At 45.1% G+C, this 24,574-nt stretch overlaps 1 long non-coding RNA gene across 1 annotated transcript, besides 1 other annotated feature; it reads left to right on the forward strand.

Annotated features, from left to right (window-relative positions):
* Positions 1–105: 105 nt before the first annotated feature.
* On the forward strand, positions 106–10,135 carry LOC157273 (uncharacterized). Its single transcript, NR_040039.1, has 3 exons — positions 106–468; positions 957–1,358; positions 7,459–10,135. It is a non-coding gene; the product is annotated as an uncharacterized LOC157273 (long non-coding RNA).
* Positions 12,776–13,709: an enhancer, noted in NCBI's record as "H3K4me1 hESC enhancer chr8:9195231-9196164 (GRCh37/hg19 assembly coordinates)". NCBI's record gives its function as "activates a minimal SCP1, AML or CMV promoter by ChIP-STARR-seq in primed H9 embryonic stem cells {active_cell/tissue: H9 hESC(primed)}" and the evidence as "EXISTENCE:reporter gene assay evidence [ECO:0000049][PMID:30033119]".

The raw sequence follows: 24,574 nt of genomic DNA on the forward strand, positions 1-24,574 counted from the left end.
AAGGCCGAGGGGATCCCAAGAGAAAGAGGAACAGAAAAGGGGAGGAGGAGGAAAAGAAGGGAGCGGGGAGGAAGGGAGAGAGAGTGTTCCCTGCGTCAACAATTTATTCATTCCACAAACATTTCTAAGTGTCCATGGTGACCCAGACATCATGGGAACTTCAGGGTTCCAGAGCTGAGTAGAACACAACTCCCATCCTTAGGGATTCACCATCCAGTAGAGGAGAAAGACGTCGAGACAGAAGACAGAAGGGAAAGGAAAAGCTCAATGCTGTGCCTTCAACTTAGCTTCTCCATTTTTTGGAGAAGGGTTAATAGGGGAAGCAGAGAGAGAGAGATGAGAGACCAAAGTTTCTAGGGCCTTTATCTCCAGAGCAGAGGGTCTGAAACCTTAGTGAGCAAAAACTGATCCGGAAGACTTGTTGGAGGCATACCTTCCAGTTCAGCGAGCCATTTCAGCAGATTGGAGGTGGGCCCAGGGCTCTGCATTTTCCCAGCTCTCTGGGGGATCTAGATGCAGGTAGTCTGTCATCACAAGGGGATGCTGCTCTTCCACAGTGGGCCTGGAGAACCAGAACTGGCAACTGCCTGGCCCCAGAGCTGCCAGCCATGAGGCGGGTCCACCAGAGACTGATGGAGGAAAGAGGAAAGGGAACAGGGAACCTCAGAGAGGATTAGGGTGGGAAATGGAAAAAGAGAAAATCCAAGGAGTGCAAAAGAGAAAAGGGAGGCCTCTCTAAGGAGGACAGCGAGTATTAGCGGAGGTGCTAGGGCCACTCAGGGTGACTGATGTCCATGTGTTAGCCACGGACATTGAAAGATTTTTGGTCTTTCAAACTCGAGGACTTGCCTAACCAAGCACAGAGCAAAGAACAGAAAGCTGACTTTGCTAGATGCTTGGGCATCAATATCACGTGGAACCAGCCTTTTCTTTGATACCTCTTGCGTTTCTTGCAGATCCCCTGCCTGCAGCACGTGCTGATCTCCAAGGGTGAGGCTGGATGAAGCCAGGGGCTATGGAAAGGGAGACTGTTTCAGAGGACTTGACACCATCTTCAGTAATTTCTCTGGTTCTTGGCAGCTCCATTTGGCTGCGTCCCTACCCTGCATAACCCTCCCAGCTAGTCTACTCCAGGGCAGCATCCAGCTGGTGACCTGAGAGGGCAGTGGCGCACCAGTCTCCATGAAGGTTGAGCTCCGATGGCCAACAGCCATTTCCACCTTGTGGTCTACAACTCTTCATCCCGACTGCATGGAGGTTGGTCTCTCTCTTCAGCTGGATTTAGGCCACCATCTGAGCCCCCGGGGTACGTTTTGTCTGACCCTGGCGCCATTCGAACGGTTCTTCTACAGCATCAGGTACGATGTTCCTATTTAGTTCAACCCCATTCCTAAGGCGCGTTTCCACTCCTCCACTCCTTTCCAAATGGACATCTCCTCCCTCATTCTCTCTCTTTTTTTTTTAAATTTTATAATATAAATATGTATTAAAAATAGAGACGGAGTCTTGCTATGTTACCCAGGCTGGTCTCGATCCCCTTGGCTCACGTAATCCTCTCACCTCAGACTCCGTAAGTGTTAGGATTACAGGCATGAGCCACCTCACCTGGTCTCCTCCCTCATTCTTCAAGCGTCTGCTCTAGCGTTACCTTCCCTGTGAATTCTTTCTTTCCTTTTTGCCATTTGGAATCCTTTTTCTTTTATTTATTTAATTGACAAATAATAATTGTACAAATTTATGGGGTGCATAGCGATCTTTTGATACATAGAAGGTATGGTGATCAGATCGGGATAATTAGCATATCTGTCACATCAAACATTATCATTTCTTTGTGTTAGAAATTTTCAAGATCCTCCTTCTAGCTCTTTGAAACTATATGTTTCTATTAACTACAGTCATCCTACAGTGCTATAGAACACTAGACCTTCCGCCTCCTATCCAGCTGTAATTTTGTATCATATAGCAAATCTCCCTGTTCTTTATCCCATCTTCCCTTGTCCCATTTGAAGTTCTTATCACGTGGTACTGGCACTCCGTTTGGGTATGCGCCACCCATTTTACTGCAGGTTCCAGAGATCTAGTCTCATGGAGGTCACTGGGGCAGAATGATTAGGAACTCAGGCTAAACTAATTCAGAATCTCAGCACTGTCACCTGTCAGCTGTGTGACCTCAGGCACGCTACTTCATCAACCTACTCTCAGTTTCCTTACCTATAAAATGGACAAACAATTGTATTTACTATTAAGGTTAAGTGTAGTTACTATTAAGGATATAACTTGGTCCAGCCCCTGGAACATTGTAGCTCTCAATAAATGTTTGTTCTTCTCATTATACATATGCATATCCTTACTTTAATCTCTGTGGATTTAATACAGAGTGGATGCTCAATCACGTTTATGGGATTAGCAGTTAAGATATGTACCTGTATCGCTGCGTCTGTCCACTAGTATATTTTAAGAAGGAATGGGTAATTCGATATATCTGTTCATGGATCAATATTTTATGGTCTTTCCTCTATGCCAGGATTGGTTCAGAGTGGAATTATCTACCCAAGCTCGGGCAGGTCCATCAATCGCTCTTCTTTTGTGTCCGTTGCTTCGGAGTGCCTTTCTCACTTCTGTTCCTATCCTTATATTTGCTGCCCTGTTTCTGAAGGAGCAGATCAGAAAATGGGGGCTTTTTAAAAGGATCTTAAACTGAGCCTGAGCTGTCTAGAGGAAAACAGCAAAAGAATTCTATCAAGTCTGTTGTAATTTGAATTCCCCCTTTCCCCTATCAATTTCCACCCTGTGAAATGAGGTGGGAGGAACTAAATACACTCTGCAGTCCCTGTCAATCGCAGTGGTCTGTGATCTTTTTTGTCCATGGGGGCACTTTTAGCTCAGCAAGGTAAAGCAACGTTAGCAAACAAACACAATTTAATGACTAGTTCTGGCTCTCTGATAAGGATACTCTCAAAAAGAAAACAGGTGCAATCTCTACTGTTTGCCCAATTTGCTGCTTGTCTTTGCACTTGCCTGGAATTACTAGAGGCTGTTTGCCTGGCTGAGCTGAATGTCTAGAAACCTGGTTTCTGCCCCTTTGAGTTCAGAAATTTTGAGAAAAGATAACAAGAGTGGACTGAGCTCAGAAGGAACTAAGCTTTTCTTAGAGACTTTAGTCAAATAACAGAAGGTTAAACATGAAGAGGAAATGATTGGTAAAATAGGTGAAAAACCAGTAGCAAATCGTGTACTGCCTTTACCTCTCTTCCAGGAGAACCTGGCTACAAGTCCCAGCCTTTACCATGGAGGCTGAAGGTGTGGGGAGGGACTTCAGCCTTCTCCTCAGCCCTGCCCTTACTCTGAGACAAGGAGCACCCCTGGCACCGCAGTGAGATCTCTGCCCTGCCAGCAGGCAGAGCCCTGGCACAGTCCTTTGCCCCATCTCTTCTTCCCTCTACTATTCAAGGTGGCTTACTTTGAATCCATTCTTCCTGTCAGGCCATTGTTCCTTATCCTCATTAAATCTATGTTTCTTTAGAAAAGCATTTTTAAAAAATTTACATGTATGCCTTGTATTAGTCCATTTTGCATTGCTAAAAAGAAATACCCAGGACTAGGTAGTTCATACAGAAAAGAGGCTTATTTTGGCTCATGGTTCTTCAGACTGTGCAAGAAGCGTGGTGCCAGCATCTGTTTTGGGGGAGGCCTCCGGAAGCTTTTACTAATGGCAGAAAGTGAAGGGGGAGCAGATGTGTCACACAGTGAGAGTGAGAGAGAGAGGGAGGTGTCAGGTTCTTGTTAACCATCAGATATCAATAACTAATAGAGTGAGAACTCACTCATCACCAAGGGAACCAAGCCATTCATGAGGGGTCCACCCCCATGATCCAAACACCTCCTGCTAGGCCCCACCTCCAACACTGGGGTCACATGTCAACATCAGATTTGAAGGGGACAAACCTCCAAACCATATCATATCTCTTCCCCTAAAGAGATTATACTTGGCAGCCACTTACCTAGGCCTGTCCCAACCACCCCCAGCCAGCCAGCACCAGCTCTGGCCCCTACCTCTTCCCACTGATCCTGATTGACTGCTGGCAGTTGGTGGCATGCTTTCCTGTGTCTTAACGTCAAATTCAGAGACACTACAGTAAAAGTCAGTCCCTAAATGAACCATCCCCTCAATGAATGTTCCCTGGACATCATTTACAAGCCATTAGGCACTACGGGAGGCCCATAGGTAGGAAGGGCCATGGGATCCAAGGGAAGAAGCAACTAGCTCTGCCTTGGGGAGCTGGGGAGGGTTTTGCAGGTAGAGAAAGGAAAGAAGGACAGCCAGGAACAGAATGCAGGGTGGGTATGTTGAGGGGTGAGAAGCGGAGGAAGTGTGACCTATTCAGGAAATGGGAGGTCGTTCCGAGGAGCTGGAACACAGCGTGCAGGGAAAGTGATGGGAGATGACATCGTGAAGGGACGTAAAGGCATTTGGACTTGCCCCTGTTGGCGATGGGATAATCATCAGGTACCTCGGCAAGGAGCTGAAAAACAAGAGTTTTAGGTCTTCCCATTTAAATTAACCTGTTCAGTCAGCACGCTAGGGGTATTCAAGTAATTAGAAATGAACCTTGAGAAGGGATGGTGGGGAAAACGCCCCCAGGGCAAGCAGTAGGTATGCTTTCAACTCGTGGAAACTGCTGTAGACAGTGGGATCTAATTATCCCACATCTTCACCTTGCTGGAACCAACTGACATACACCTTGCAGGAACCAAGCTTGTCTTATTGCACTCCTAGAATACAATTAACTCAGCTACCTCCAACTCCTGTCATATTCCACATTTACTTTATGCACATAGATTTACTATATTTACATATTCACCATATTTATCATACTATGATAGATAGTAGTAAAGTTCTTTGTAACACACAGAGTGTTCTACAAATAGATTGATAATTTGTATTGTAGCTTTCCATGGGTGTGCCGAGAGGATCTAGCCAGAATGCATATTGCGCAGATACCCGCCTCTGAGAAAGTTTCTCCCTTCAACTTTACTATAAAGCAGAAATATGGAAGTAAGAAGAGATGGGCACAGCCAATCCCATCAGCCAACTCCAATTTGGTGACCAATATTGTGATTGTTCCAAATTATAACCCTAAGGCAGTGAAGATAAAGTGTGTTTTGTGGAAGCAGGACTTTTGCCTGGGCGTGGTGGCTCACACCTGTAATCCCAGCATTTTGGAAGGCCGATTGTGGGCGGATCACTTGAGGTCAGGAGTTCAAGACCAGAATGGCAAACATAGTGAAACCCCATCTCTACTAAAAATACAAAAATTAGCCAGGTGTGCTGGTGTCTGTAATCCCAGCTACATGGGAGGCTGAGGCAGAAGACACACTTGAACCCAAGAAGCAGAGGCTGCAGTGAGCCGAGATCGCGCCACTGTACTCCAACCTGGGTGACAGAGCAAGATTCTGTCTCAAATAAATAAATAAATAAATAAATAAATAAATAAATAAATAAATAAATCAAAGCAGGACTTTGGAGAGCCCTTCATATACTGAGAATTCAATGGTCACTGAGAATTCAAAGAAGGTTATTTGAATCCAGCATTTCTCAAGGTTGATTTGACAACCAAATCTCCTGTTTCCGGGTCCACATTGCCTGGAGGCCCTCCAAGATACTCAAGAAATAGTAGAGTCTGTGTCCTATATTTCAAAAGGAAAATGTTCATTTCTGGGGGAAGCTGTAGGTAACCTGTAATGTGGGAACTAGTCCAAGAGGCAGCACCAGGAGCTGCAGCCGCGGAAAGCCAGCAGCTCCCCGTCTCTGCGGTCGATCCTTACCCTGTAGCCTTGGGTGTGGTCTGAGAAGCTTCCTCTGATGTTCTTAGCTAAGACCCGCCCTACTTCCCACCTGCCTCACCCCACATGACCATCTTTTTATTACCACCCCTGACTCGTAGTCTTATCCCTGGACCTCCTTAGTATTCCCTTTGCTTGATGTCTGTAACCCTGACCTGGGGCTTATTGTAAGAGCTCAGGGAGAAGGACCAAGGCTAAATTGATAATATTCTCTCATTAATGTAACACCGCCTTATGAAATATCTCTATTCTATTCTATTCTATTCTGTTCTGTTCTGTTCTGTTCTGTTCTGTTCTGTTCTGTTCTATTCTATTCATTTTATTTTTGAGACAGAGTCTCACTCTGTTGCCTAGGCTGGAGTGCAGTGGCGTGATCTCGGCTCACTGCAAACTCCATCTCCTGGGTTCAAGCGATTCTCCTGCCTCAGCCTCCTGAGTAGCTGGGATTACAGGCATCCGCCACCACACCAGGCTAACTTTGTATTTTTGATAGAGATGTTGCCCAGGCTGGTCTCAAACTCCTGAGCTCAAGTGATCCGCCTGCCTCAGCCTTCCAAAGTGCTGGGATTATAGGAATGAGCCACTGCGTCCGGCCCACTTTCTTCATGTTTTTAAGTTGTTGTTTGTTTCTATTGTGGGTGGGAGGTTCTTTTAGGAGTCCTTTTGCTCTGTGATCTACGTCTCATAGTCAGTAATTATTTTCTTAATTTTATGCGTGCTCCCTAGGGTATAATCTGGTTTTCAATCTTCATGTCGTGTCTGTCTTGTTTTCACCTCTGATGCTTTTGGTTGTCTTCATTCGAAGGCAAGGAGAAACCTTCGTTTGTTTTTGCTTTCGCTTTTATGATTAATAACATGTAATTCTTTTTTTAGTGTGACGTTTTCAGAATTACTCGCACAAAGTGCTCTTCACAAGCGGTTGTGGTGCAGAAAGCAGCAGTGAACGGGAGCGCTTTCCCCTTTGTACTGGGGAGAGCTAGGTTTTCCTGGTCTGGCCCCTTTGGGGTTTTGGTTCCTAGGCTTCTGACTCTAAAGACACTCCTGAGTTCTCTTTGTAAAGCAAAAAGACAGCTGATTTCTGAAATCACATGATACATTTTAAGTAATTCAATCCCAAACTGCGTTTGAATAAGAAACCATCCTCCAGCTTCAAGCTTTCCCTCCATCAGCATTACTTTTTATTCAAGATAAAAATGTCCTCCTGGCTTCCCCTCCCTCTACTAGAATTCTCGGTCACTTTCAAAAGCCCCATTTTACTTTGTTTGTTTGTTTGCTTGTTTTATTTTGTTTTGTTTAGAGACAGAGTCTCGCTCTGTTGCTCACACTGGAGTGCAGTGGTACCATCTTGGCTCACTGCAACCGCCACCTCCCTAGTTCAAGTGATTCTGCTGCCTTGGCCTCTGGAGTAGCTGGGATTACAGGCACGCCACACCCGGCTAATTTTTGTATTTTTAGTAGAGATACGGGTCTCCCCATGTTGTCCAGGCTGGTCTTGAACTCCTGATCTCAAGTGATCCGCCCACCTTGGCTTCCCAAAGTGCTGGGATTACAGGCATAAGCCACCACGCCTGGCCCATTTTACTTTAAATAATATAATTTCTTCTATTCTTCCAGGCGTTCACCTGGCTCCTAGGGCTTTTGTGCTGTAGGCCTATATTTCCAGCTACTTTTGGAAAAAATCTCTCTGGAGGCTCAATGAGCTTGTCACATCAGCCTGCCCAGAGGTAAAGCACATTTCTCTGCCCTCACACGCCTCTCCCTTGCTGTCTTTAACTTAATCAATGCCCGTAACACCCTCTACAATGCTGAGCAAGCTCAGATCCTCCTAGTCTTCATGGCATCCTTCTTTTTCTTTTTCCATTGGTCTAATCTGATTGAATTTAAATTTTGCACATTTTGCATGAGTAATTCTCTTGCATGAATCTCTTTCTCTTCCTCCCTTCTGCCATCACTGGCTCTTGTCCTCTCTTTACTGGACTGTAGAATAATCTCTTTGGTGGTCTTCCTGTGGTCTTCCCTTCCCCTCCACTAAATCTACTCTCTATTCAGTATCAAGAAAGACTTAATCAGCAGTGAATACTCTCCACCAAGCCCTTGACCCATTGTCAGTCTCTGGCATCAGATCCTTTCCAGTAGGGCAAAGTGCAACTGCAGCCAGCTCATGCCTTCAAGAGAAGGACTGAAGATCATTGTGTGCCTAAACCAAGTAAGTCTAACTGCTCCTTCACCAGCTCACCCAAAACTATAGGGGCCTTCTACAGTCACGTTCCCATAGCTCTGGGAATTCCTCCAGACTTGAACTCTGGTTTGGCTTCCCCAGTTTATATCCTATGCTTCATACCAAGGTCTTCCCACTTTGCCTATCCTACAAGAAGTAGTGGCCAGGTTGGACTTTCTGATAAGTTTGGAGATTGCTTCTTGGCTGACCCTTGGTACCTTGTTCTACTAGCCACAGCTAAGCTCCACAAAGCCTAGGTGAGTGGGACACTGCAACCCAGCCCAGACCCAACACTATGACCTTCTACCAGTTGAGCATGGGATCAAGATGAGACTTCTAGTGCCAATACTAAAGACTATGAGGTTTGCAAGGTGAAGTTCACTGTCAACCTCTTATAGTCCATAACAAATATTTCTAGTTTGTTCACTCATTGAGTCATCCAACAAGTATTTATAGAGCAACCGTCAAGTGCCATATACATTCCATGGTGTTAGGGATATAGCAGGGAAAATGTCAGACAAGGTTTCTACTCATAGAATCCATATTCTACTATTGGAGGAAAAGAGATAGCACATATAGCATCAGTCATTGTCAATGATCTTAAATGTCTGAAGACAATTAGCTTTATAAGATGTAAGTGACTGAGAGGGAAGGGCTATTTTAGACAAAATGCTCAAGGAATTAGCTCTGGGAATATGATGTTTAAACAGAGATCTGAATGACAAGAAGAAGCCAGCATGCCAATGTTGGTGGGCAGAGTATACTGGGTAGAGAGACCAGCACAAGTACAAAACTCTAAAGTGGGAATGAACCTGGATGAGTCTGAAGGATGGGAAAAAGAATCATGTGGCTGGATTTGATGAGCAAAGAGGTGAATAAGAGGAAAAATTAAGTCAAACAGGAAGACACAGACTAGATCATGTAAGGCCTTGGTAAGTGATATGGTTTGGCTGTGTCCCCACCCAAATCTCATCTTGAATTGTAGTTCCCATAATTCCCACTGTTGTGGGAGGGACCCAGTGGGAGATAATTGAATCATGGGGGTGATTACCCCATGCTGCTGTTCTCATGACAGTGAGCGAGTTTTCACGAGATCTGATGGTTTTATAAGTTTTATAAGGGGTTTTCCCCCCTTTTGCTCGGCACTTCTCTCTTGCCTGCCACCATGTAAGACATACCTTTGCTTCTCCTTCTCCTTCTGCCATGATTGTGAGGCCTCCCACCCATGTAGAACTGTGAGTCCATTAAACCTCTTTTCCCTTATAAATTACCCAGTCTCAGATATGTCTTTCTTAGCAGCATGAGAACAAACTAATACAGTAAATTTGCATAAGACATTTGCCCTTCCCTTTGAAAGCAATGGGAAGCCATGCTCTGCATACTCAGAATAAGAGTGAGATTGGAAACCATGGTGATTGAAGACCTATTGGGAGTGAAGACTTGAGCCTTGAAGGAGAGAGTGACTGCAAAGTTTCTCAGATATCTGCAACTGGGGATGATATCTGGATGGGATGCCTGGGCCCTGGGGTTAGTGAGGAGTTCAAAGAAGAAGGAGCAGAAATGGATTCAGGAGAGAGTGAGCAGAGACTCAATGTTCTGTAAGTAAGTGCTCCTACAGGGGAAGGGTTAGAGAGGTCGGTAGAGGGGCCCAGGATTCCGGGAAGCTGGAGATTCCAGCTCTAAGACATGCTATTGTAGCCTCAAGACAGATGCACAATTATAGGTTGCAACAGTGGAGTGATTTTGAAGAAGCAAAAATACTCAGTGCAATGGACTGAATGTTAGTGTCCTTCCAAAATTCATATGTTGAAACCCTAATCTACTATGTGTTAGGATTAGGAGGTAAAGCCATTGGGAGGTAATGAGGGTGGAGTTCTCAGGAATAGGATTGGTGCTCTTATCAACAGAACCCCAGATAGCTCTCTCGCCCTCACTCCACCACATGAGGATACAAGAAGTCTGCAGTGTGCAATCTGGAAAGGGCCCTCAACAGAACCCGACCATGCTGACACTTTGATCTTGGACTTCCAGGCTCCAGAACTGGGAGAAATAAACTTCTGTTGTTTGCATGTCACCCAGTCTATGGGGTACTTTGTTGTGGCAGCCCAAATGGGCCAAAACACCCACATTCATCACTAGCAGGCCCTGGACATATTATCCTATTGATTCTCAGCTCCGCTCTCTTGCACCGTGGGCACCCTAAAACAAGACACATATGTAAAAATACATGTAAACATGGCACCCTGATATGTACGCAGGGTGGGCCCCAGATGTGCCTAGCATGCTAACAGTATAAATCCTGGCCTCAGGCAAACGGCCTTCTTGACCTTCCAAAGGACTAATAAGCAGCCCTCCCTTGAGAAGGCCTTTCTCCTTTCATGATTGTTCCTTTTCTTGCATGGTAGATTTTACCTTTGCTAATATGCAGTGGTTAAAAAAAAGAAAAAAAGGAAAGGAAAAAAAGCAACCCTACCAAATAGAAGGGACTTTGAAAGTGTGAAGACTGCTCAGTTCTCTGACAAGCCCTGCTGCCTGAGTCCCCAGTGGGGCACTGGAATAAAATTAGGACTGTATGAAGGATGAATGGGTCGTCTGTCTCCTGCAGAGCCCTGCCGTGTGGACAGGGCCAGAGTCATCACTTGGTGCATAAGCTGGAATAGAGCGCCTTTCATTCAGAGTTCCCAGGACACTTCACAGCTGCTAAAATGATCCTAAGCAAATATTTGTAGCCACACAATACAGGTGGGAATATGGAGGTACCAAGAAGAAAAAGGATTGGCCAAAACCCCCAGAGTCAACTCCAGAGGTAGGACCAGAAGCCAGGACCTGAGCCAGTTCAGGGCTCTGTCGGCAGGATCAGGCCTGGGAAAGGAGGGTGGGATTTCGTGACTAAGAAGAGTGGTGATCAAACAAATTTGGGGGGTCCACAGTAACAGCTGGCTGTGAGCCCACTGCTTCCTAATCCAGTGCCACTCAGGCAAGTGTGTTCGGTGCCTTGGTGACCTGCAGCTCTAAGTGGCTAGAGAGCTTTAATAATTCAAGGCCTCTGATTAGACTGACAGTGTCTGTCCGAGGGAGATGTGCTGTTGAGTGTTTTCTGTGTTCCAGACAAATTCACTTACAGTTTCAATTAAGCCCATTTCTTGTATACTGGGGCCCAAAAGGCAAACGCACAAAACGGGCATGTGATTGTGCTGCCAAGACAAGGGTGAGCACAAGATAGTCTGCCTACCAGAGGCTGTAGGCTGGAGTCCAGGTTGAGACTTGAAGTCAAGATAAAAAAGCGTGCTTGAATATGGTCTTTCAGGGTGGAGACTGCCACATTCTTGTCACTATTGATCTTCAAATAAACAAAACTCCAATAAAATGTTATCATTTGGAATCAATTGGAATTGATTTGCTGGATGGCAGGCAAGGCAGAAAGGATTTGGGAGGGAGGAAAAGAAAGAGAGAAAATAAGCTGGGCTTCAGGACCCATGACAGGCTGCCACCAACACAGCGCTGTCACCCCATGTGGTCCTCCCAAGGGCTTCTCCCAAGGCTTGGATGTAAACAGAGGCCTCCCCCAGATGCCAGAAACTCCACAGAGCTTCAGGGCTCATCGAAAACCTCCCACATGGCCTTGGAGAGGTCAGCGGCCATTCTGGCAGTACAGACTATACAAATTCAAATGCCAATGCCTCCATTGCTAGCTGTGGGATCTTGGGCAAATCATATCATCTCTTAGCGTCTCATTTCTCTGGGCACGAATAGCCTGTACCTGACAGGATTGTGAAGTAAGAAGCTGACAGAGTGAAGAAGCACTTAGCACACAGCTGGCCTGCAGCAAGAGCTCAAAGCATCAGTCTTTATTCTTATGATTATGCGCCAAGCTTAGGGCACCCCAGAACTTACTTATTTCCACTCCCTCTTCAATGCAGATCCAAATTCACTCTTGGGTCCAATTTAACTTGGCAGTTACACATAAGACCTAATTCCCAAATTAAAGAGCTTTGGACAAAAGTCCACCTTTGATGGCAAGTGAGGAAGGAAGCCAGGCAGTGTTGACAAGTCCTTCATCACTGACACTTTGCTCAGCCTCAGTCAAGGCTAGCCCCGGGTAAAAACGAGAGACAGGCCAAATTTGCTGTCATTGAGGTGCACCTCTCTAGCGCCTACCATCCCAGGATTTATGAGCCCCACAAGGGCTGGGGCGTTGGCACAGCCTGTCACCCTGAATCAGTAGACAGTCTTCCAGTGAAGTCGCCCAGCAAGGAAGCATGTCTGCAAAAGGGAGTGAGAACCAGCTCCGCTGGGGACACGCGCAGTCTGGAGCTGGCAAGGTGGAGCCAGGGAGAAGCAGAGCAGAGGGGGCCGATCTCCAAGCTGGGCCGGGCCCCAGCAATGGAAAGGCATCTTGTATACTGTAGAGGGACACACAGATGTTAAGGGTGTTATCCTATGATTGTTACTACTTTTCATTGGAAAGCCAGTTGTTTAATATCAACAAAGTAGTCAACAAAACAAAGGAAACCAGAGAGATCTGGGTCTGTGGCTGACACATGTGAGTTCCATCACCCTTCAGAGCCCACTACAGAGCACACTACAGACGAATTCCATCACTCTTCAGAGCCCAGCTTCCCCGTCTGTGAAGTCCTCAGAGAGCAGGGTTGCTAAATGGACTGAAAGTGATAAGATAGATCTTGTGCCTGCCACAGAGAATCAGTCAAGGTTCCTTCTCCCTTCTCTCTGGTGAAGACACAGGGTACCTTTTTTTAAAAAAACATAAAAAATGTAACTTCAGAAACTAGAAAGCAAGATTAGCACCAGGGAAAGCTTCAGTGGTGAATTGTTTTCATAGCATCTCTACTCCCTTCAAAGACCATGCAGACAGGGAGTATCTACTTTGGTGTGGTCCAGCCTTTAGCAGCCATTGCTTGCAAAAGAAGTGGTGTTTGGGAATGCTTTCAATATGCAGAGATGTTTTGTTGGCCCGGGTCCTATCTCTATGGATTCCAACAGCAGGAGCTTGCAGATGTGTGTGGAAAGGGCAGAAAAGCTTGCCCAGGAGGCTGAGCTGGAGGAGCCTCAGCGCCAGGCTTTGTGTGTTGGCTGGAATGCTTCTTGCAGCCCTCAGTGGGCGGCAAAGAAAACCACCTACAGGCCGGAGAATGTGAGGGGTGTCCAAGTGCCATGAGAACATTCTACTCAAGTCCACTTGATAGAGCTGTTGCTCCTGATGGTTTATCCTGTGTCCCCTCTGCCTGGACTGCTTCCAAGCCTCCAGGCCAGCTGGTCTAGGAGCTGCTGAGAAGCTACGTGTGCGAATTTCCTACACCGTGGCAGCCAGTAGCCAGGCACCTGTCAGGCTTCGGGGTGGGAGTTCACGGAGGGGCATGGATTTATCCTTCCACCATCAATCCAACAGAGGGCCTCTTTCTGCCCTGACCTTATTCCCTTCTGCTTCCATTATACTAACACCACCACCTCATGGACAGACCTGCTCACTACAGGTAGTATTCATTTTATTTCATTTTTTTTCAGTTACTACTGTCCTCTGGGAAAATGAATCCTCCTCCTGACAAGCGCTTCAAACTTCTAGGCTGTGGGCATGCAAAGGAAAACACAGCCCAGGAAAAATATCCCTAGGGAATATGAGCATATTAGACCCAGCGTAGCAGACATTATGTGTATTCATAGACATATACAGGTTATTTATGTATGTATGTATTTACATATATGATATATGCATGCAATATGAGACATATGTACATATATCTACACTCATCTCATGAATATCTCATATATATGAAATCTCATATATATGAGATTATATAACTACCTATCATAGACATGAGAGATCTACATATATCTACAGAGATCTATGATAGCTCTCATATCATAGATACGAGATCTACATATACTTACACACATATAGATATGAGAGATCTACATATATCTACACACATATCCCATAGATACCTCATATATCTATATTTTCTTTATTACATAAAGAAAACAATAGCATAAATATACCTATGAGACATCTATGGGATATATGTGTAGATATATGTATGAGATATTTATGAGATATGTATGTTTCTATGTGTGCATGAGCTCCAGCTAATCTACATTCAACCTATCTTTTTATTTAAATGTAAAAATATATTACACAGTATATATGAAGCATATGTAAATATGTACAATGTAAATGTTGCATAGATTTTCCTGGGCCACCTTGAGGTCAACCTTGAAATAGCCTGTTCTGCCTTCCATGTGCTTCTCAGGCTACAGACCTTATGATTTCTTTTCCACCCCGAATGGTTCAGCCTCTGGCCTCAGGCTGCATATCAGGAAAAAGAGCCAGTGCTAAGCATTAATAACAGATGCAAAGGGCCAAGCTCAGGCTGGGCACAGGCGGGTATAGGTGAGGGTGGAGGTGGTGGGGATGGTGGGTGAAGTTGCCTCTGTGGAGCTATGGTCTTGGAGAAGACAGTGCCAATCTCCCTCAGGAAGACCCCATAGCCCTTGCCCTCCAGAAGCCACGTAGTTAACACCCCTGACCTCATTTAGTTGAATGAATGAACTAATTAGAACCTGGGAACTTGATTCTGCTGCTGATGGTTCTTTGGCATTGTAAACACACACAGAAGATGGAGAGGCAACATCAAGTTGGAAGTCTGGTTATTTTGCAAAGAATGAAGTGAAACTGGACGTGACGGGGGCCTCCGCATGTCTGGATGTCTAGACAGAATTCACTCCCTTGCACAGGTCCCTTGTACCAGGGATCGGGGGCAGACCGCTACCTTAAGTAACGATTTTATTACATAAAGAAAACAATAATGAGAACTCCCACTTCATGTACTCTCCTTCCCAGTCTACACCAGCGAGCTCTGAGAAGAGTTTAGAGGCTAGAATATAAAGAAGCTACTCCACCCTTCCAGAAACTTTCATTCACTGTCCAGTCCCCTCTGCTTGGTTAGAAATTGAGAAGTGACCAGGCCAAACACGTTATGCAATCTACTAACCAGCCCCGTGTAACACAAATTAGTACAGTGTGGTATAGAAAATGCTCACACCTGGAGTCCAAATTGTAGATTCTTGTCCCTACTGGAAACTCCCAGGACTGGTGAACTCGTCTGAGGCTATTAGTAGACCATAACTCGGTTTCCTCATCTGTCAAGTAAGGAGGTTAATCTCAATGAACTTTAAGTTCCCTTTCAAGGTTAACATTTTCTGATCTTCAATTTTAAAACTATCAAAAGTTCCAGTTAACTGATGATCATGATAATCCTGCGAGAATTATTAGAATCATGACACAGGGAATCCCAGACAGCAGGAAAAAAAAAACCAAAAAAGCATTTATGTTTGATCTAGAAATTCAGATTCACCATCCTGTGTGTCATATCTGAATATTGTTTGTTCTGCAGAGAACTGAGTGGGTCTAGTGATATTAATAATTAATGCTAATAGTAGTCTACATTCTATGACCACTAATAGTAGTCAGCCACTGGAGGACAGAATAAGTCCCTGAGAGATAAGAGAGAGGCATTCACCAGCTTGACAATTGCTTTTGAGGGCCTGAACTCAGCCCTAACTCTGAGAGATACTGTGTGGCACTTCTATAATTCAGCATCCATTTCACTCACAGGGCATCTTGAGATAGAGAATTTGCTTCAGTAAGCCTGAGGTGGAGCCGAAGATTCAGCATTTCTAGCATGTTCCCAGGAGAAATCAGACATAAATGTGCAGAAAAATTGGTGTCCTACAAGATTTCCTGCTGGGTGTTGACTGAGGGGTCCAAATTTTAAATACAGTTGCAGTTTAGAGGAAGGGATGGCCCCAAGTGGCAGAGGAGGAGTCACAGCTCTTGTAGAAGAGGAGGGTCAAGCCAGGCTGAGAGTAGAATGTTGCTGTGGTTAAAATGCTCATGGATAATGGAGAATTGTCGGTTTGGGGAAGGGGAGGGAGAAAGGAGAGTTTTATGGGTGCAAGGGACAGAGTGTCGTGATGACTATAGTGCTATAAAAGGCAGTGATGGTTCTGTAAGGCAGAGACCCTCATCTCAAGGTGCTGGACTTTTTGTCCTCCAAATTGAGGTTTGCCTTTGACTTAATGGAAAAACTTTCTTCTGGTGCCACAATAGCCATTTCATTCCAAGATGGATTGCAATGTGAAGCGGTCTTTTTCCATTTCATGTCCCAAACCTCAGCACAATTAGTTTTGAAACAAATGTCAATAGCTTCTGAGGGAGGCTGTGGGTGTGAGGCTGGAGTATCAGCGGCCAGCCACAGAGAAGGACTCAGAGGTTCTGATTGTGCCCATCGTGCTAAGACGTCCTGTGATTCCTGAGAGGCATTAATTCTGGTGCATGTTCATTGAGCATTTTTGATGCAAAGTAGTTTAAAAGACAGAAAGAAGATGGAGTTTGTTTTAAAGGTTTTAAGATAAACACAGATCAGCACTGTCTCAAAAACGCTGTGCATGTTTCCATGAACTCATGATCTTTCTGTCTTGACAGTCTCCAATCACGTGTGGAGATGACCTTGCCATCCCACCCACCCTTCAATCAGAGTGGGGACAGATGTTATCCATTGAATTATATCCCCCCACTGAGAATTCCTGTCTTAAAGTCCTAACCCCATTGTATCTCAGAATGTGGCTTTGTTTGGAAATAGGGTCATTGCAGATGTAATTAATTAAGATGAGGTCTTAACTTACTGGAATAGGGTGGGAACTTAATCTAATCTGACTGGTGTCCTTACGAAAAGAGGAAATTTGGACATAGACACTCTCACACAGGGAAGATACCATATGAAGATGAAAGCAGACATTACAGTGGTGCATCATCTGCAAGCCAAGGAACACCAAAGATTCCCACCAAGTCACCAGAAGCCAGGGACAGGCATGGAACAGACTCTTTCTCACAGCCTTCAGAAGGAGCCAACCCTGCCGACACCTTGATCTCAGACTTCCAGCCTCTAGAACTGTGAGACGATCCACTTCTGCTGTTCAAGCCAACCACCTGTCGTGTTTTGTTATGGCAGCCCTAGCCAGCTAAGACAACAGATCAATAATAAACTTAGGTACATCAATAAAATTAAGTTGTTGTGTGTATGGCCTTGGGGAAAATCTTTTAACCTCTGTAAAATGAAGACTTTGGAGCAAGTGGTTAGTGAAATCCCTTGCAGGTAAAGCATTCTGTGATTTTATAAAATTCTGACATATTGATCCATTTAATGCCGTTTCTTGGATTATACCTGGGAAGTGAGAGCTGAGAAACAGCAGCTGTATCCGAGAGGGGCAGGGCTCACCTGGAAGAGAGAGAGCCTGCTTTGAGGAGCCATAAAATCAAATCACCAAGGAACCAGAGGGGATCTTGGCCCAGTGGGGACCCTCAATACTAAATGGAGACTGGAGCATGCCTGGGCCAGCAGCAGACAGCCTTGGCACAGCCAAGCAGGGAGCCTGGGCTCCTCCTCCTGCACGAGGCAGCAGCACCAACGGGAGAGAGCCCAGCACACAGAACAGTCGGGAAGCAGTCAATGGTTTATAAGTCAGCCTAAGAGGGCTGGCCTGAGTTTCTGTCCTCCCAATTCAGCCATAAGCAGAGGGCAAGGGGACCAACTTAGCAACCTTGTGGCTATTTAGGAACATTTGTTGAAGGAAACTCTTGCTAAGGTGGCAGGTGGGAGCCCAGAGTCACTGTAATTTGGGTATGAAAGGAAATGTGACTTCAGGATGTAGTCACTGGCAGGTAGCACGTGGGCATTTGAGTTGCATGTTCACCTCTGAGCTGGACACAGCAGGGGCCAGGTCGGGCTGCCATCAACACTGTCTATAATCCATGCCTCGCACTTTGGAAAAGCTCAATTTCTTGCACAAAAGGAGGATAATGAAGTAGGAATTTGTTCCAGGAATAGGGAAAACAATTCGCCAATGTAGTAATTAGGGCCATGTTACCCTTCTAGACTCAATTTTAATTAGCTGTTTATTAGAATTAATTTTTGTCATCATTACATTGATTATATTATTTAGTGCCAGTTGGTGAGGGATAATGTCTGCGCCCGCAAAGTTTAGCTTAGCAATTCGAGAATTTGAATGGAGAAGGCAGAGTTACACTTTTGCTTTTTCTTAGTATCAGTCAACAAATATTAACCAGCTCTGTGGTGTGTGCAAGGTGCCGTGCTAGACACTTGTAATCAAGTTGCCTAGCCACATATAAAGTAGCCAATACTTATTATTCAGAATAATACAATAATAGAATCCTATGATTCCCGAACAGCCCTGCTATTCTCTCTGTTTTTGTACTCATATTTTTTCCTCTTCCAGGAATGCCCTGTCCTGTAAAACGTCTCCCATCCTTCAAGACCTACCTTTCAAATGACCTTATCCATCCATTTCCCCCAAATCTGATGAATGGGAACATCACTTCCTTTATATACCCAGAACTCATTGCAGGTCTCTCATGGAATTTCTGTGCTACTGTGTATTGTAGGTAATGGCCATTTGTCTCACTAAAGTACATGTTCCCCAATATAGTGGGGTGAAGAGTGTTCCTCAAAATTTGTGTCTACCTGGAACCTCAGAATAGGTGACCTTATTTGGAAATAAGGTTTTTGCAGATATAATTGGTTAAAGAGCTTGAGATGATATCATCCTGGATTTAGGGTGGGCCCTAGATCTAGTGACTGATGTCTTTACAAGAGAAAGGAGAGAGAGATTTGGACACAGAGAGACACACAGGGAAGAAGTCCATATGAAGATGGAGGCAGAAATGGGACTTCTGCAGCCACAACCCAAGAAACAGCAGGAACTGCCAGAAACTGAAGTGACCGGAGGCAAAGGAGAAGTATCTGTTGCTTCCTGCAAGTGAAGTCCTAGCTGACACCTTGATTTCAGATTTCTGGCCTTCAGAACGGTGAAAGAATGAATTTCCATTGTTTTAAGCTACCCAGTTTGTGGTAATTCATTATGGTAGCTCTGGGGAACTAATATGCCTGAGTATAATCTATGATTTACCTTCCTATCTCCGCAAATTTGCTCATAAGCATTTGTGAAAATACTGTATTTGCTACATTGCAAGGCATTGATCTCAGCTCTTCTTTAGCCATAATGGCTAAAGAAGCACTTATAAAAAAAATCAAGGACCAAGCAAAGTCAAAGTATATTAATTAGTTGCTTTCTCTTATGTGTGTGCTGGGAGGGTACACATGACTTGTGTGTGCAAAGGAACCAAGCAAGACTCCTTGGATCTGGGTATGAACAATGGTCCTGCTGATGCAAATGTCTGAATGAAGCCTTGACTGCCAGGAGGAAGCCCCATACTCATAGTGAGAGGGACTTCTGGAAGAATTGAGATCCACTCTCTGTGGACCTGAGTGACACATAAAAACTGGAGTTTCTAGGCCGGGTGCAGTGGCTCATGCCTATAATCACAACTCTTCGGGAGCCTGAGATGGGAGGACCACTTGAGGCCAGGAATTTGAGATCAGTGTGGAAAACATAGCAAGACCCCATCTCTGCAAAATATTGAAGAATTAGCCAGGCTGATGCTCACCTGTAGTCTCAGCTACTCAGGAGGGTGAGATGGGAGGATCACTTGAACCCAGGAGTTTGAGGCACACAGTGAGTCCTGATCACACCACTGCATTCCAGCCCGGATGACAGAGAGAGACTCTGTTTCAACAGAAAGAAAGAAAGACGGAAGGAAGGAAGGAAGGAAGGGAGTGAGGGAGGGAGGGAGGGAGGGAAAGAAGAAAGGAAGGAAGGGAAGGGGAGGGGCGGGGAAGGGAAGGGAAGGGGAAGAAGGAAGGAAGGAAGGAGGAAAGGAAAGGAAAGGAAAGAAAGGAAAGGAAGAAATTGAAGTTTCTAGATCACTAGCTGGCCTGGGTGACAGAGAGAGAGAGACCCTGTTTCTAAGAAAAGAAAGAAAGAAAGAAAAGAAAAGAAAGAAAGACAAGAAAAGAGAAGTTTTTACATCACTAGTTAGCCAGTTGAAAGGCACGCGCTCACCAAATGCCACACTAACCATACCCCGGAATTTGGAGCCAAGATGACCTTAGTTTCAGGCAGAATAGTCTGTTATAATTTGGGGTTACCTGCCTGAGAGGTCTCCCCAGTGGGCAGAAGGGTTGGGTTGGAAGGTCAGAATTGAATATTCATTTCTTCTTGTTAAGCATTCACTCTTCACCCTACCTATTTTTCATGCCTCAGCACCTTTGGGAGATCTGCTTAGAAACCAACTAATTTTTTAGTGGTTCTTGATTTATCAGATAATACTTGTAATAGCTAACATACATGGAGTGCCCACCCAATGCCCGGAATTTTATGCATTAAACAGTTTGCATGTATTAGATCATGAAATTCTCATAGCAACCCTACAAAGTAGATATTGAAATCTCCATTTTACAGAAGAGAAAATTTGAGCCTCCAGAGGTGAAATAACTTTGTTGGGGGTCACATAACCAGTCAGTATGCTGGGTCTCCAGCCCAGTCATCCTGTCTCAAAAGCCCAGACCGCCGGTTCAAGTGAATATTGCTTTTCTCAGGGTCTCTCTGACTCATTGAAGGCATGCGTGATTATGAGGGTCGTATTAACAGGAGGGAAAAGAGCAGCCAAAAGGGGGCTGCTGCCCAAAACCAGCTGCACAATTTTTTCCACATCTGCTCATTCTGGGATGCACAAGGTCTGTTGAAAGCGGGGTCGTGTAGAAATTGAGTGATAGTTGAATGCATCCACCAAGCAACCAACTAGGCACCTGCAGCCCCGTTTTCTGCACTGAGAACACATTGCACATCCCCTTAGATTTTTTTGCATCAGAACCGAACATGACTCCCAGGGCTCCCTCTACGCTATTTCACCTTGCTGAGCCCTTCCCAGATGTACTGGTCAACGAGTCAAATTCTCAGCTGGGGGAGAGCAGATAAGACTCCATATTTGGGGAGAACATAGAGGCCTTTCCAGAGCCTGCTGCTCCTGCTGTCATTTTGTTCATTCTGATTGAAACACTCTGTCTTTGTTGTCAAGCTCTTTCCCACTCATACATATTTGTGTGATGAGTACAATGACATTATTCTATTAGTCGCAAAGCAGGGGCAGATCGCTATTTAAATTGATATTGCTTTTTAAGTTATTACAGTCACTGTTCTACAGTTCCATAGTCACACCATTTCCCAGATCTCCCAAGAATAATAATCAAAGGAAAAAAAATAAAACCCCGGCAAGATTTCCATCCAGAACCTGCCAGCACGGGGCTGTTCTTTTTACTTCTTGCCTCAATGGCACTTCCTGGAGTAGCAAGTTATTTAATGCTTACATAGTGATATCTGATCTGTATTTCTGTTGTCCCCCAGTGGCCACTGGAGCTCTCTCATTCAAACACAAGTGAAACCAAAGAGAAGGCAGTCACCCTGCAGGGTACCACACAGCTGTGCTTTTTAGTATTTCCCCAAAAGGCTTCTTATGGTGGCAACAATCACCTCCCTCTCTATTTTAAGTAAGCAAACACTATTTTAACTACCTGTGACTCTGAGTGCTGTGGCCCTATAAGCTATTTTATTTATTGTTATTTTTTAAATTTATTATTATTTTTTACAGACAGGGTCTGACTCTTGCCCAGGCTGGGGTGCAGTGGTGCAGTCATAGCTCACTGCAACCTGGAACTCTTGGGCTCAAGTGATCCTCCTGCCTCAGTCTCCTGAGTAGTTGGGACTGCAGGTGCAAGCCATCATGGCTGGCTAATTACATTTTTTTTTTAAGAGAAGAATTTTCACTGTGTTGTGTAGGCTGCTCTCAAATTCCTGGCCTCAAGTGATCCTCCTGCCTCAGCCTCCCAAGGTGCTGAGCCACAATGCCCAGCTCCTATCACCTATTTTAGAATAGTACTGAGGCACTTCTTTTTCAGTCTGGACATTCCAGCCCATTCATTGACATGGATTACTGGTGATTTTGTTGGTGAGGCTGAGGCAGCTGTCCCCAGGAATGGAAGTGCTGTCTGCAGTGCCATTTGGAAAGCAGCCCTCAGCTCTCCAGTCAGACAGGAACATGTGTCATTTCCTTGTGGACTGGACTCTACAGGTCGATTGGGGCCTCTTGCTACTACCACACTGTCTTTGGTCTAGAGGGCAGCAGTTTGCTCTGTCATGGGCATTAGTGGATCTTTAGTGCCACTAGCTTAAGAATCTTGTGATTTGGGGTTTCAGGGAAGAGCAGCAGTCATCTATCCCCTATAGATACACGATCTCAGAGGCTCTGTGGGCACATATCCATATTAATGTATACAGCCTGCCTGGCTCCACCTCCACTTAACTTCTCACTGCAGAGAAATATGGGGGCGGGCGGGGGAAAGAGACTTAGGAAGGAACCAGGCCTCCTGTATCAAGTTCCTGGGTTCTTGTGTGTCTATTGCTTGAAAGGGAAGAACTGTTTTTTGTGTGTTTTTTGTGAGAGAAAGAAAGGAAGGAAGGAAGGGGAAGGGGAAGGGAAGGGAGGAGGGAGGGAGGGAGGAAGGAAGGAAGGAAGGAAGGAAGGAAGGAAGGAAGGAAGGAAGGAAGGAAGGAAAAACAGGGCTGAAGGTGAAAGAAAGCCAATCCCCTCTAGGTATGTCAATGCTCCTAAAGCCTACCCCTGTCCCTGTTATCTTGGGGTACGGTGGGGTTGGCACTAGGTTGTGGTAGCTGATGGAAGGCCAATGGAGTATGCTTGGCTCTTACTCCAGCAAACACCAGGCTTGGTGAGTCACCTAGTGCCTCCCACTCCTCCAGGGCCATGTGTTGAGTAGCAGGTCTCCCTGGGTGGTAAGATTTATGCCAACTGATGATATCAGGACCCATGGGTTGTTAACAGACTGTGACGTCAAGTGGCCATATTCCCTTCATCCAATCCAGTTAAAGGCTTTCCTCACATATGGAAACTCAGGAGTGCCCACAGGAGTGATTCTCATAGAATGACTCATGGACAAGCAGGGGTCTGTAAGGCTTCTCCAGGTGGCCACTGATTTCTCATAGGATAGTGAGAATTGCTCATCATTCTGCACCTTCAATATCTTTCTTACTCCCACATCATCCCCATTGGCAAATACATCTAACTTGGAATAGCTCATCTTAAAAACAAAACAAAAACATTCCCTTGACCTTATAGGCCCATCCAACCATGGCCGAGCTCTCTGCTTCCCTTTATAGCAAAAGTTCTGAAAAGTCATGGATTAGTACCATCTCTGTTTGTCACTGCCCATTCTCTCCCAACAAGCTCACTCACCTGTTCAATTCTATTCATGTGCTACCATTGGGCCCCACTTGTTTTATCCAGGGGTCAACTCTCTGCTCCATCTTACAGGCCTTCCTAGCAGCTATCGTCACTGTTGACGCCTCCTTCTTTTCTGGAGCTTTTTATTCTCTGGGGTCCCAGAAACCAAGAAATTTTCTTGGTTTTCCTCCTACCATATTATCAGCTTGACTTTTCTGCCTGAGTTAGAACCCCCAAAAATAAATCTCCAGATCTCTTCTCTTGTTTTGTCTTCTTTTCCCTTCCCTTTCCCTTCTCTTCCCTTCCTTTTCTTTTCCTTCTCTTCATTTCCCTTCCCTCCCTTTCTCTTATCTTCCCTTTGTTCCTCTTCTCTCTCCCTTTTCCTTCTCTTCTGCACTCCCTCTCCTGGTAATCTGTTTCAGTCTCAAATCGTCTATACATTCATGACTCTCGAATCTATCTTCCCAGTCCTTATCACCCCACGAAGGTCCAGATTCCTAAATCCAACTGCCTCTATGACACCTCTGCTAAGATGCCTAACAGATGTCTCAAACTTGAATATCCAAAGTGAAACTCTTGATATCCCTCCAAGGCTTATTTCTCCCCCATTCTTTATTTGCCCAACAAATAATTCCATCAGCTGCTACCCAGTTGCTCAGATCTAAAACTTAAGAATCATGTATTTTTGACTCTTCTTTTTCTGTCATACCCCACATTCAACTGACCAGTCCTACTTTTTCTAACTTTAGAATATATCCAGAATCTAATTATATCTCACCACATCGACTGTTATATCCCTAATCCAAGCCATTGTCATTTTCTGCCTAGGCCATAGCAGGAATTCCTATCTCTGGTTTTCCACACTTGCCCTACTATAATGCATTCTCTACCCAACAGGCAAAATAATCTCTTAAGCGTGTAAATCTACCATATCGCTCCCTTGCATAAATCCTGCTAATGGCTTATAATCACATTACAGAATAAAATTTAGGTAACTTGCCATGCCGATAAGACCCTGCATGATCTGACCCCTGTCCCTTGTGCCTCCATTCTCTGCTTGTTCACACTGGCTGTCTTCTAGCCTGTGGGCAGCCCTGGCTTGTTCCTGTTTCAGGACCTCTGTGCTTGCTGTGCCCTCTGCCTGGAACGCTTTCCCCCAGGACCTCAGCACAATTCACTGTGCACCATGCAAGTCTCGGCATCAGTGTCATCTCCTAAGAGAGGACTTCCCTGACTACGCAGCTTAAAGTAGCTCCCAACCCAGTCTTTATCTCATCACAAATGTT

Source organism: Homo sapiens, chromosome 8 (assembly GCF_000001405.40).
Source record: "Homo sapiens chromosome 8, GRCh38.p14 Primary Assembly".
NCBI classification, from domain to species: domain Eukaryota; kingdom Metazoa; phylum Chordata; class Mammalia; order Primates; family Hominidae; genus Homo; species Homo sapiens.